Here is a 14,600-nt window from a genome sequence, read left to right on the forward strand (position 1 = left end):
AATTGATGGGACTCTGTGCAGCCATCTCGCGTGGCCACCGTGAAGTATGGACCAGCCCAGGTGAGTGTTTAGTTGATGGGACTCTGTGCAGCCATCTCGCGTGGCCACCGTGAAGTATGGACCAGCCCAGGTGAGTGTTTAATTGATGGGACTCTGTGCAGCCATCTCGCGTGGCCACCGTGAAGTATGGACAAGCCCAGGGGAGGGTTTAGTTGATGGGACTCCATGCAGCTCTCATGCGTGGCCACCGTGAAGTATGGACCAGCCCAGGTGAGTGTTTAGTTGATGGGACTCTGTGCAGCCATCTCGCGTAGCCACCGTGAAGTATGGACCAGCCCAGGGGAGGGTTTCAGGTCCGGAGATCTCAGTTGAGAGCATCACTGCTCCAGAAAATGACCACAGTGTCATTCTGAGCTCACCGAGGTATCTGTGGACACCAGGCCCCATGGGCGTGCTAGAAAATGGGTTCTGGAGCCCAGGTGGACACCGTTTCCATCTCAGATCTTTGGTCCTCAGCACCTGTCTGCTCCGACGTGGAGGTATCAGCTCCCTGCATCTTACTGAGACACAGGAGCCAGAAGGGTCCCGAGGTTGTCATCATGGTGCTCTCCCCAAGTGCCTCCCAGCTTTGTGTGAGATTGTGGGGGCACATGGCTTCAGGAGGTGGGAAATGGAACAGACACCTGCAGAGTCTGACGGGGCGCTGAGCTCCTTCCCTGCTCTGCTGAGACAGGCTCGGGCCTCATCTGTTATTGGCCAAGGGAAGCAAGGAACCAGGGCAGGTGTGAGGTGTGCACCAGAGGCACCCCTTGAGTTAGGGACGAAAGTCTGGCAGGGCCTGGAGCTACTGCGTGTTTAATCTCGGTGCATGGGTGTCTGCAGGAGCAGAGGGCCCGTCCCAGCGCCGGATCTGTGGTCTGTCCCTGGCTTTCTCCTGGGCATCCTGGAGACGCACAGCTCCCGGCTGTGGCTGTGGTCTTCTCCCTCTGTCCTTGGGTCCCTCCGCAGCTGCAGACTGGGTTAACCTTGAGAATGGACAGTGGTGGCCTGGCCGCTGAGTGACAGCCAGGAAAGAGCAAATATTGACTCCTCACCTCAGGAAAGGGGCTGACGTTCCTTCCGCAGGCGCACACTGACCTTGCTTCCACGGGAATCGATAGAAACCTCTCGAGTCGATAAATCTTAATGTTCCTTTCAACAGAAATCCATGCACCTCACTATTGTTACTTTTCTGGAATGGCGGGCAGGAGCAGGCCTGGGCCTGCGCCAGTGATCAGAGGGTGGTTTAGCCTCAAAGCTTCATCAGACCCTCCTGACTGAGACGACTAAAGACCCGTCCCCTCAGAGGGTGCTGATAGCCCCCCTGCAACTATTCACAGCCCACTGGGCCCACCCCTAACCCACCTCCTGCCTACAGGAACAGCATGGGGAGAGAGAGATGGAAAAGCCACACCCTGTCCCCTGCCTGGGGCAGAATCCCTCTTGTCTGCCAGGCAGGTGACTTGACGCATCCTTTGAGGGAGCTTTGAGGAATAGGACAAACCCTCACTGTGGAAGGCCAGAGGGTCCCCTCTCCTCCCTGGAACGATCCCCCAGCTCCATCTGCAGATCCTCCCCTAGCACAGCCCAGAAGCTGAGAACTGGAGCCCCCAGGATACAGTGGGAGGGATAGGGGTCCTGGGGCTCAAGAGGTCCTGGGACTCAGAACAGGCTGGCAGGAATTCAAGCATCTCTAAGAAGGAAGTTGAGGAGGCCTGGCGTTCCTGGAATGTGGGTTTGTGGTCCTTAAACGCATCCTTCATATTTAAAAATACCCCTTCCTCTCCCACCCCTGTCCGAGCAGCTCTAGATCCTGCTGGCCAGCCACTTCCTCAGATGAGTTCACTGAAAGCAGGAGTCGTCCTCCCATCCATGCACCTCTGAAGCCCAAGGACTTTCAGTGACTTTAGCCAGAGACTTGGGCAGCCACAACTCCTCTAGTGCTGATATGGTTAGGTTTCCTATCTCACCCAAATCTCATATTGAACTGCAATCCCCGTAATCTCTACGTGTCAAGGGAGAGACCAGGTGGAGGGAACTGAATCCTAGGGACGGTTTCCCCCATGCTCTTCTCATGATAGTGAGGGAGTTCTCATGAGATCTGATGGTTTCGTAAGGGGCTCTTCCCCCTTCACTTAGCACTTCTCCTTCCTGCATCCTTGTGAAGAAGGTGCTTGCTTCCCCTTCGCCTTCCACCATGATTGTAAGTTTCCTGAGGCCTCCCCAGCCTTGCTGAACTGTGGATCCATTAAACCTCTTTCCTTTATAAATTATTCAGTCTTGGGCGGTTCTTTATAGCAGTATGAAAGGGACTAATACAAGGGCCAAAGGGAGGCAAGGCTCATTGGTTTGGGTCTCATCACGCCCCCGTGTTCTCACCCCTGCTGTGTGAGCACGGAGGAGTCTGTCTTCCAGCTTGAGCTGGGCCTGCTGGGGATGGGCATGGGGCCCACATAACCCAGGACCTGGATCTGCTCTGAAAGAAAGGGGACAGGTTGCTCAGAGTGACTCTGCCCAGCTGTTAACTAGCCAGTACAGACATATGACACAGCCCAGTAGCGGGGAACATGGACAGCTGCCCATCGGGACCATAGCCCAGTCACCCCACTGTGCTGGCCTCTCCTCCTCTGATAGCACACGGCCCCTCTGGGCAACAAGAAGACAGAGGTGGCTCAAGCCTGGCCAGCTGGACCCCTTCCTAGAGAGTGAGGCTCCCTGGCCTCTCCCTGGCCAGAGACTGGAAAGCATGAATATGGTCTCATGGAGAAAAGCAGGTGCAGTGGAGAAAAGTGAATCCCCGAACAGAGACACAGACATGAGAGTGCATGGAGGGAGGGACACAGAGGCTGAGCTGAGCTGGCAGGGCTGTGTGGGCTGGCAGTCCCCTTTTTACTCCAACAGAATCATGGACTGCTTTGGGTCTCCCTCACTACCAAAGTGGGGGTAGGATTTTGCCACTTGGGGGTGGGGAGGGTGGTGGAGAGCAGGAGACTGGGGCTGCCCTCTGCCATGGCAGGTTCAGCCACAGCACCTGCAGGAGCAGAGGCAAGAGGAGCTTGAGGTGAGGAGCCACCAAGGAGCAGAAGGGATCAGGGAGCACTTGGCACATCCCTCTATCACTTCCAAGAACTGGTTCTGCTGCCCTGGTCACCAGGAGCCCCTCTTGCCACAGCAAAGGTTGCAAGAGCCATCTCAGGACCAAACGTGTTTGTGCATACCTTTGAGCCTGTGCATGTTAGGTTTCTAAATTGTGCCTTTCCACTCACATTGCTTAATCTGGGAGCTGAAGGATGGATAGGCATCAGGTGAAGAGGAAGGGAAATGCATTCAAGAGGGAGGAACCACCAAGAACCCAGGGACCACCAGCAATGGCAGCAAAGGGGGAGCAGCAGGAGGTGAGATGAGTCAGAAAGGAAGCATCAGCTCATTCAAAGCTTTGAGGCTTTGCATGGAGGGTGAGCTTGGTTGGTTGTGAGTCAGAGCCTGAGAAGTGGTCTGTGGGGGAGTGAAATGAGAAGCAGGTCTTCATGAAAGACCACTCTGGTGAGTGGGAAACTTGGAGATCAAATGTGGAAGGGGGAACAATGTGGGAGTGGACTTGGCTGGGGCAAAGGCCCCATATTCTGCTCCCTACAAGATCCTCCGGGGGAAAGATGCCATAGTTCTCTGCACAAAGGAGAACCAGCTATCCATCCATCCATCCATCCATCTACTCATCCATCTACACATCCATTCACTCATCCATCCATCCATCCACTTATCCGCCCATCCATCCATCCACCCACCCACCCATCCATCCATCCATCTACCCACTCATCCTCTACTCAGCTATTCATCCATCCATGCATTCACCCATCATCCATCCATGCATTCACCCATCCATTCATCCATCTATCCATTATTCATCCACCCATCCATCCATCCATCATCTACCCACCCAACAACCCACCAGTCTACCTATCCATTCATCCATCAACCCATCCTTCCATCCATCCCCTCATCTGTCCATGTACTCAATCATCCATCTGTCCATCCATCCATCCATCCATCCATCCATCCATTTATCCATCCATCCATCATTCATCTACCCATCCATCCAAGCATCCACTTATCCACTCATTTCTTCCTTCCTTCCTCAACTCTGTTCTATGCCACACTCTGGAACCGGTGTTTCAGAGGCTATAGATGCTGCAGGTATCAAAGAAGAAAGGGTCTTGCCCTCTGGGACCTTTATTCTGTTGGAGAAACAAAATAATAAATAAGTAAGCACATTAAAAAACAACAACACTTCCCTATGTGGTTGTTGTATGAAGCTGAAAATGGAGTGGCCTGAGGCCTATTGGCTGGAGGGCCTTGCAGGGTCCACTGTGGGCTGAGGGTGTGAGACACCATGAGAGGTGATGGGCAGGGACCCAGCCTCACAGACATGGCCATGAGCCACCCCATTCACATGTCTCATGACGAGGGCAGGGTTTCCGTGGGATTGGGAGCCTGTCCGCTTTATTTGTAAGAGAAGTCAGGCATGCCCATTCCTCTTCTGTGGCTGGAGTCAGCAGGGACAGTCTGAGGACTTGGGCCATGAGCTGCCACTGCCTGGAAAGGCTTGAGTAGATGAGGGCTTCCTGGCCCATGGCAGATGGGTGGGGATGTCCTATAGACAGGTGATGGCTGGCCCCAGAAGAGCAAAGCTGCTGTCCAACCGAGGGGACTGCTCACAGGGAGCCACCCTGGACCAGGCCTCAGTCACTGTGTGCCGGAACCCTCTCTCCTTGATATTTCATCCAGGGGGCCTTCGTGGGGCCTTTGTGAGCCCCTCGGCGTTCTGACACAGTGCTGAGATTAATGCCATAAACTGGTGACAAGGAGAAGAGAACAGGGCCTGGACTTCACTGCAAAGGGCCCTGTGCCCTAGCGTGTGTGTCTATGTGCAGGGAGTGCATGCATATATTACAAGACACTGCCACACCCCCACCCTGTGTTACCTGTCCATCTGGCACACAGGCACAAGGGCTGAGTGACCCCACAGCTTCCTCTTTAGCTGCTGCCCAGGTGGGAAGAGGCCCGCGCCAGCTGGGACCCTGAGAAGGATGTGGCTCTTCTGGTCTAGCAGGGCAGAACCTCCCCTCTATGGAGCCCTGCTTGCAGCAGACGGACAGTGGCCTCGTGCAGCAGGGACAGCTTGGCCTTGCACACCACGCCTGTGGGAGTGCACACTTACGGGCGCTTGCTGCTCAAGTGGGAAATTCAAGCTGGAGGGTGACGCAGGTGGCCCAGCAGGAGCCCTGGTAGGGAGCCCACCCCACCATAGTCTTGACAGGAGCAGGCGTTTGTCTGGGGGACTCCGGTTGGAGAGATGGCCTCAGGCCCTGGACAGGGCTGCCTGTCCCCTGAGTGCATGAGGAAGAATTTAATATTGGCTGGGACACAAATGATGGCCCCAGTGATTAGGATGCCATCCATCTCAATATAGCAACCATTATATCAGTGATTACCATCATCGTTATAAGTTCATGATTTATGGAGTTTGTGATGATTATTTTTGTAATGTTAAGTTAGAAGAATTTTTGGCAATAGATCAATTTGAAAGAAACTGAAATACAGTTTTTAAGTGAGGAGCTTGGCTGAATTAAACAACAAAGTGTGTGTGAGCGTTTTTGCGAGTATGTGTGTGCCTGGGCATGTCCCTCGTCCTGAGCCTGACCAAGAACCAGCTCCATGAAAGTGGACTTAGAGGCTTAGGGTAGGGCTGGGGTGTCATTTGACTCCCAAACTCTTGGAGAGAATTGACTAACATCAGATTGAGGTTCAGATATTGGGTCCCAAAAATGTCCCCAAGGACTGTGAGGTCCTGGCACTGCCCCACAGGAAATTATGGGCACAGGACAGAACTCTGCTCCTAGGGCTATGGCTGCCTCTAGACCAGGAGCTCTACAGGAGGGACAGTGACAAGGTCCCATGAATGTGGTTTGCAAGATGGCCTCAGGCCTGCTGTGTGAGTGTGTCTGAGAACAGCAGTGACTGAGCATTCCGTCCTTCCTGCCTCTTCCTACAGTGGTGAGTTTTCCTCTCTCCTCCCTCTGGCCAGGCTTTCCATGCCCGCGCTGCCTTCCGCCTCCGCTGCCTGGCCTTTGACACCCAGTGGCCATGTTGGGCTGTCCTCCTCCTCTCTAGCTGTGCCTTCTGTCCTGTGGGCTCATCCTCTGTCTGGCCACAGGGTGATGGGTCTGCTCAAGGACAAGGTGCCCTCTTTCTTTATGCCACCCCCATGCCCCATCTGCGTGGTGCCATTTGTACCTGTGGCCTTTTGGGACCCGTGTAGATAGCTCCGACCTTCCCACCCTGGCTCCTACCCATCCCTGAGCTCCATACTCAGCTCCGACCTTCCCACCCCAGCAACTACCCATCCCTGAGCTCCATGCTCAGCTCCGACCTTCCCACCCCGGCTCCTACCCATCCCTGAGCTCCATGCTCAGCTCCGAGCTTCCCGCCCCAGCTGCTACCCATCCCTGAGCTCCATACTCAGCTCCGACCTTCCCACCCCGGCTCCTACCCATCCCTGAGCTCCATGTTCAGCTCCAAGCTTCCCACCCCAGCTGCTACCCATCCCTGAGCTCCATACTCAGCTCCGACCTTCCCACCCCGGCTCCTACCCATCCCTGAGCTCCACGCTCAGCTCCGAGCTTCCCACCCCAGCTGCTACCCATCCCTGAGCTCCACGCTCAGCTCCGACCTTCCCACCCCGGCTCCTACCCATCCCTGAGCTCCATGCTCAGCTCCGACCTTCCCACCCCGGCTCCTACCCATCCCTGAGCTCCATGCTCAGCTCCGACCTTCCCACCCCGGCTCCTACCCATCCCTGAGCTCCATGCTCTCTCTCTGTCCATCCACCTGTCACAGCACCCGGCCCTGGCTCCACCTCACCCAGCTCAGACCCTCTGCTCTATCTGGGAACGGCACCACCACCATCCTGCAGATGATGCCAGAAACCCCAGGCCATCCCTGGCCCTTCCCAAATCCTTCCCCTCTCCAAAGTCAGTCTAGCACCAAGGTTGACCAGTTCCGTGCCCGGGGCCATCTTTCTGAAGATTGAGTCACCTGCCACCAGCACCTTGCTCTGTCCACTCCAGCCCCCGGGTCCGCATCCAACAGGACTCTGAGGAAACCCGTCCTGAACCACCAATGTTTTCACATCCCCTCTTTGTTCACACAGCCTTCAGCTTTTAAAGTCACCTTGTCACAGAAGCCTTTTCTGGTGTCTCAGATGAGGTCAGGCAGGGGTCATGCAGGTGATAGCTAGGGGTCAAATGCTCAGGTAGGGAGCCTCATACAACCGAGTTTCTCTCCTGAACAAAGCATGCTACAGTTGCAATTTCACACTTGTTCTTATGTATTTGAATAATTCCAGTTTATCCCACCATAGTGTATACTCCGTGAGGTTGGAGATTACATAAGTTTTCAAACATTGCTGTTTTCTCATTGCTTAACATACGGCCTGCCCATAAGTGTCTCTCCATCTATCTGTCCCTCCCATCCTCCATCATCCATCCAACCATCCTTCCCTCCCACCCTCCATCATTCATCCATCTGTCCTTCCTACCCTCCATCATCCATTCATCCATTCATCCCTCCTGCCCTCCATCATCTATCCATCCATCCCTCCCACTTTTCATCAGCCATCCATCCATCTCTCCCACCATCCATCCATCCATCCATCCATCTTTCCTTCCTACCCCCAATCATCCATTCATCCATCCATCTGTACCTCCCGCCCTCTATCATCTATCCGTCCATCCATCCCTCCCACCTTTCATCATCCATTCATCAATCCATCTGTCTCTCCCACCATCCATCCATCCATCCATCCATCCATCCATCCCTCCCTCCCTCCCATCCTCCATCCATCCATCCCTCCCACCTTTCATCATCCATCTATCTGTCTCTCCCAGCATCCATCCATCCAATGTCCCTCCCACCCTCCATCATCCATCCATCCATTCATCCATCCACCCCTTCTACCCTCCATCCATCCACCTGTCCCTCCCACCCTCCATCCATTCATCTATCCATCCATTCACCCGTCCATATACTCACCTGTTGTCCCCTCCCCCATCCATCCACGAATTCACCTATCCTTGCAAAAGTTATTGAGTGCTGCATGCCCTGTATGGTTGTTCTCATAGATTAACTGGGTTGATACTCCCAATAAACTTATGGGGAAGTAATGACTCTTGTTATTAAACACATGTTATAGAAAAAAAACCCCTGAGGCTTATGAAAGGTAAGAACTTGATCAACAAGTGAACATCAGAGCCCCAAATCTGGATGAATCAGCTCCATGCCCACATCTCTACCCATGAAGCCCTCTCTGCACAGAGACACCGGCACCGACTCTTCCACCATCTCCAAATGAAGGTCTATGTTCCCCAAGCCTGTCCTGACAAGAAGCTGTACAGAGGATTCTCTGCAGATGAGAATCTCCATCCTGGCTCTTATCTTAGACCCAGTGGAGGAGCCTGGCTATACAGTGGCATCACTGTCATATTAGAAATGCACGGGCATCATAACCCTCCTGGTATTATCTGAGTGACTTTCTGTGTCTTAGCTGGTGTCTCTGAGCCTTGGTTGCTTGTGGTTGGAATGGGGGCTGGAAGCCTGTACATCCTGTGCAAGGAGGGCCTGGGAGACAGCCTGTGAATGGTGGCTCTAGTGTCCTCTTTGTCTCCTGAAGATCATAGCTTCAGGTGTGGTGCTTGGGGCAAGCCACTGTCCCCTCCATCCTTCAGGGAGTTTAGTGGAATGGAAGCAGATGGATAAACTGGGGGTGGGGGAGTGGGTACTCAAACCTGCCCAGGCAAGGGGGTGGATGGAGAGATGGTGCAAACTCCGTGCATGGAAAACACGTGATCATGATGGGGAAGGGGCAGGACGCCTTCGTAGACTTGGGTAGCATGAGGACAGGATTCTGTACTCTCTTCTCACCTACCCCTGCCGGGTGTTTAAAGACTATTGTGTCATTTATTCCTCCCAAGTGTTCTGCCTGGAAGGTGCTCTGCAGATGAGTAAATTGACCAAGGACACAGCCAGTAATTGCTGGAGTCAGTATCCTGAACCCCAGCCTCCCCACCCTCTGGGCAGCTTCTCCACCCTCTGGGCAGCTTCTCCACACTCTGGGCAGCCTCTCCAACCTCCGGGCAGTCTTTTCACCACATCACACTGCACTGCACAGTGGGATGAACACAATTCCTGGCAACAAAAAAGGGAAAACTTAAATACATTGGCATGGAAGTGCCAGGCACTTACAACTTAATTTTAGGGCTGGAGTGGGAGAAGTGGTTGTTGCTGATTTAAAGGACCTGGATGTCTGGCTAAAGAATTTGAACTTCAGCTTGAAGGCAAGGGGAAGCAGGGAGTGTCTTAGCGGCGGGACGGTGAGCAAAGCTCCTCTGGGGAAGGCGCTCGGATGATGGGACGGAGAGGGGCAGCTGGAGGGAGACGCAGCAGCATTCTGCACCTTCACCTCACTCAGTTCTCACAAAGATTTAGGCATGGATATGAGAGTTTCAAACTGTTTCAAAAATGAAACAGTGAAGTGTTGGGTGTAATTTAAATAGATGTGTATTTTTTAATGTATTAAAAAATCTAGCAACTCCACAAGATAAAAGAGGGCACACAAAGTCATCATATGAACTCGGAAAATCATTGCCGCTCCTGAAAAGAAACACATTCAGATTCCCCAAGGGCTTTTCCATCTTGCTCCACCGAGTGGAAGGGGTTCCAGGAAAAGAAGGAGCATCAGCTCCAGGAAAAGAAGGATATCCTTGGGAAGTATATCCCAAGACTTCCCCACATGTGGAGAGACGTGACCTGGAAGTGAATGGTCAACCAGAGGAAAAGTTAAGACAAAAAATTATTATGAAGAAAAACCCTGGCCCACCACTGTAGGATTGCTGCAGAGGAAGAAGGGATATTGAGGACCTACCCTGTGCCAAGCTTCCAGGCTGAATTAAAGGAAGGCCGGGGCCGGGCGTGGTGGCTCACGCCTGTAATCCCAGCACTTTTGGGAGGCAGAGGCGGGTGGATCATTTGAGATCAGGAGTTCAAGACCAGTCTAGCCAACGTGGTGAAACCCTGTCTCTATTAAAAATACAAAAATTAGCCGGGCGTGGTGGCGGGCACCTGTAATCCCAGCTACTCGGGAGGCTGAAGCAGGAGAATTGCTTGAACCCAGGAGGCAGAGATTGCAGTGAGCTGAGATCACACCACTGCACTCCAGCCTGGGCAACAGAGTGAGACCCTGTCTCAAATAATAATAAAAATAATAATAAATAAAAATAAAGGAAGGTCTGGTTAAAAAGACAGAATAAGTGGTGATTAGGTGGAGGAGTCAGACCTGAATAGGTCACTTAGAAATCTCTTAGCAGGAGTCAGTGCCTAGGTCCCTCACGGAAGCATCTATGACCGCGGAGGCCACCTCTCCATGTGCCACTGCGTTACTGATGTTGAACAAAATGAACATCAAGAGCCACAAACCCACAGGGACTCCCTGCCCTGCCACAGCCCAGAGGGCAGAGAAAATGGGTTTTGGATGACGGAGAGCCCAGGAAAGCCATTCCAGCCTGCATCAGAGCAAACAGGATGGCCAGAGAGACCAGCGCTTGCAGGAAGATCACATGGAGAGAGAAAGGGTCTTGCGGTGGAGCCAACGCTGGCACAGAAGGAAATGGAGGAGAGAGAGAAGGAAAGGGACAGCGGCAAAAAAGAAAGAAAAACAAGTGAACGTTAAACAACAAACTGAAGAAAACATCCCCTATAACAATTGTCAGTGAATTCGTCAAAGGCTTAATTAGAACAGCGAAGTGATGAACAAAGGTCTGGTAAAAATGCCAACTGCATCCATCATGTGCACTAATACACATTTAAATGCCAACTGCATCCATCGTGTGCACTAATACACACCTAAATGCCAACTGCATGCATCGTGTGCACTAATACACACCTAAATGCCAACTGCATGCATCGTGTGCACTAATACACACCTAAATGCCAACTGCATGCATCGTGTGCACTAATACACACCTAAATGCCAACTGCATCCATCGTGTGCACTAATACACACCTAAATGCCAACTGCATCCATCGTGTGCACTAATACACACCTGAATGCCAACTGCATCCATCGTGTGCACTAATACACAACTGAATGCCAACTGCATGGATCGTGTGCACTAATACACACCTGAATGCCAACTGCATCCATCGTGTGCACTAATACACACCTGAATGCCAACTGCATGGATCGTGTGCACTAATACACACCTGAATGCCAACTGCATGCATCGTGTGCACTAATACACACCTAAATGCCAACTGCATCCATCGTGTGCACTAATACACACCTAAATGCCAACTGCATCCATCGTGTGCACTAATACACACCTGAATGCCAACTGCATCCATCATGTGCACTAATACACAACTGAATGCCAACTGCATCCATCGTGTGCACTAATACACACCTGAATGCCAACTGCATGGATCGTGTGCACTAATACACACCTGAATGCCAACTGCATGGATCGTGTGCACTAATACACACCTAAATGCCAACTGCATCCATCGTGTGCACTAATACACACCTAAATGCCAACTGCATCCATCGTGTGCACTAATACACACCTAAATGCCAACTGCATCCATCGTGTGCACTAATACACACCTAAATGCCAACTGCATCCATCGTGTGCACTAATACACACCTAAATGCCAACTGCATGCATCGGGTGCACTGACTAGTACACACCTAAATGTAGAATGAAGATGAAACAACCTTGGCAATGACAGACCTTAAAAAACAGTACAAATAAAAATAATATAACTAACATAATCCGAAAGAAGCACTGACGTGTGAGAGGAAGGGAAAACCGGCTGGTTTCTTCCTCATTCACAGCAAATTCAGTGAATAGACAGCAAATAAAATGTGAACACATGGCCAGGCATGGTGGCTCATGCCTGGAATACGAGCACATTGGGAGGCCGAGGTGGGTAGATCATGTGAGGTCAGGAGTTCGAGACCAGCCTGGCCAACATGGTGAAACCCGTCTCTACTAAAAATACAAAAATTAGGCAGGTGTGGTGGTGTGCACCTGTAATCCCAGCTACTTGGGAGGCTGAGGCAGCAGAATCGCTTGAACCTGGGAGGCAAAGGTTGCAGTGAGCCGAGATTGTGCCACTGCACTCCAGCCTGGGCAACAGAGTGAGACTGTCTCAAAATAAAACAAAAATAAAAATAAAAATAAAAATAAAATAAAATAAAACAAAATAAGAACACAGGCACACTCACACTCACTCATACACCCTCATTATCAAACTCTCAATGTTTCTATTTTTTTCTCTTAAAAAGATCTTTAGAAATGAACATTTCCATGGTAAAGAAATGAAGATCGACCATTCCCTTTGTTTTACTTTATTTTTCATATTAAATATAATTTAAAATAAATCATCTAATTAAAAGCATGAGTAGAAGGACTTCCCACCCTCCCTGCTGTTCCTCCCACTGACCTCCCACCTGGCTGGTGGAGGCCGTCTGGGGTTGTTTCCTTGTATGAAGGCAAGTTCCTGTTGGGGGATGAGATTGGGGTGATAATGTTGCTTTCTGTACTAAAAAAAAATTTCCTAATGCACATGTGTAATTTTCACAAAAAAATAAAATAATTGAAATTACTAAAGAGAACAAGCAGACGGGTTTTCACCATGGCCTGGGCATGAATACCTCTCTTGACCTTGTTCTAAGGCACATGGGGACTGCTGGGTGGAGCATGGATCTGGATAGCAGGCTGAGGTGGAGCCTCCCAGCAATCGGCTTCCAGGAGGGAATGGTGTGCAGGCCAGCACCGCCTCCTCTCCATGGACCACTCAAGGCTGAGGCTCCAGAGCAGATGCCTGTGCTATTCCTGACTATTCCTGAAGAGATTGGCACCTGCGGGGCCTGAGTGTTTCCCTGCACAGAGGAGAGCAGGGACTTTGGCGACCCTGGACGCAGCTGGGGACACTGGGCTCGGTTGAGTGCTGTATGAGAGGCCAGTCCTGGTCACAGTAGAATCTGGGGCACATGAAGCTGGGGATTAAGGCAAAGACAGCACATCCAGCCTGGCCACATTGTGGTTTCTATATAAGTTCCTGATGGGCAGGCCTGTCTCTGATGGGCCAGCAGCTGCCCCCATGCCCCGGCACCCACGCCAGTCATCCAAGGTCTCAGAAGGAAACATCTGAGACACTCCTCCAGCTTTGGAATCATGAACTCAGCTCTTCCTGAAAGTATCGTGTGTGTGTGTGTGTGTGTGTGTGTGTGTGTGTGTACCCATGTACGTGTGCATGCGTGTGTGTGCCTGTGTGTTTAGTGCTTGGGGGGTGTGTGTTTGTGGCTTATTGAAACTATGAATTTTACTGAATCAGTAGAGCCGATCATTCTTTCTGCACAAACCTGGTCCCACCTCGGTCATGCCTCTGTCTGACATCTATCAGTCAATTTATCCATCAATGGTAGAATAAAGTCAATTATCAAAGCTGGCAGTGCGGCCGGCTGCTTTCTTGAAAGTAACAATCAGTCGGGGAGCATGTCTTGCTAATTCCATCCTGAATCTGCCTTCTTCCCTCTTGGGACAGGTGCCTGCGTCCGCACCCCTTTCCTCTGCCAATGGGGAGACCACAGGCTTCCCTCCCTGCTTGCGTGGGCTGGACCCCTCCCCACCTCGGCATGGCTTGTATCAGGGGCAGGAAGGTAGCCAGGAGCATCACGCATGTGAAGCAGTAACTATTTTAGTACATCCAAGGGAGGGAGCTGCTTCCTGCTTTACACACAGGTCCAACAACATGAAGACGGGAATCTCAAGAAAAACAAAGTTATAAATCACAAATCAAGATCATAAAATAAAATCAGTATTGAAATAATGGCAGTAAATGGGTGCTTTTGATGTGGTCTGCGTTGTAAGACACAGGGAGAAAATGCCTCTGTAAAACTCTAATAAATCGCTTTGTTTAATCACTAGAATATAAATGGAATTTAAAGGGTCATCTGAGAGTCATCCTTTAAAATAACACATTAGCTTTTCTTCTATGACAGTTTGGGGGAAAGATGCCATTATTTAGAGCTTGTGTACTTCATTTATTTTTAAATTAATAGTTTTTTAGTTTTCTATCTTCAAAAATTTCCTTAAAGCATTCATCTACTTTCTCTATTTCCTTTTCCCTAATTTCAGAGAAGAGTTTGTGTCTTTATTTTCCTGTCGTGGATGCAGAGAGCTCCTGCGGGTGTTTACAAAAGGTCCCTTGGTGTCATTCTGCTTCTTGGCCCTCCATCACTCATGGAATCACAGCTGATGCCTGGGCTCACAGTTCTCCGAGAAATCACTGGTGCCAGGGAAAAGTGTTCTCTGATTGATATAGCACACTTGCTATGTTTCACAGTTCAGCCCAAGCTCTAGCTGCTATTTCTTAAGCAAATGTGTGCTGTCTTCGTGGAGGTGGCAGTGGAGAAAGGAAAATATCAGCTCTCAGTGATATCA

General features: G+C 51.1%; 1 annotated feature.

Annotated features, from left to right (window-relative positions):
• Positions 5,112 to 5,611: an enhancer, noted in NCBI's record as "H3K4me1 hESC enhancer chr22:49252199-49252698 (GRCh37/hg19 assembly coordinates)". NCBI's record gives its function as "activates a minimal SCP1, AML or CMV promoter by ChIP-STARR-seq in naive H9 embryonic stem cells {active_cell/tissue: H9 hESC(naive)}" and the evidence as "EXISTENCE:reporter gene assay evidence [ECO:0000049][PMID:30033119]".

The sequence above is a fragment of the Homo sapiens genome, chromosome 22 (assembly GCF_000001405.40).
Source record: "Homo sapiens chromosome 22, GRCh38.p14 Primary Assembly".
NCBI lineage: Eukaryota > Metazoa > Chordata > Mammalia > Primates > Hominidae > Homo > Homo sapiens.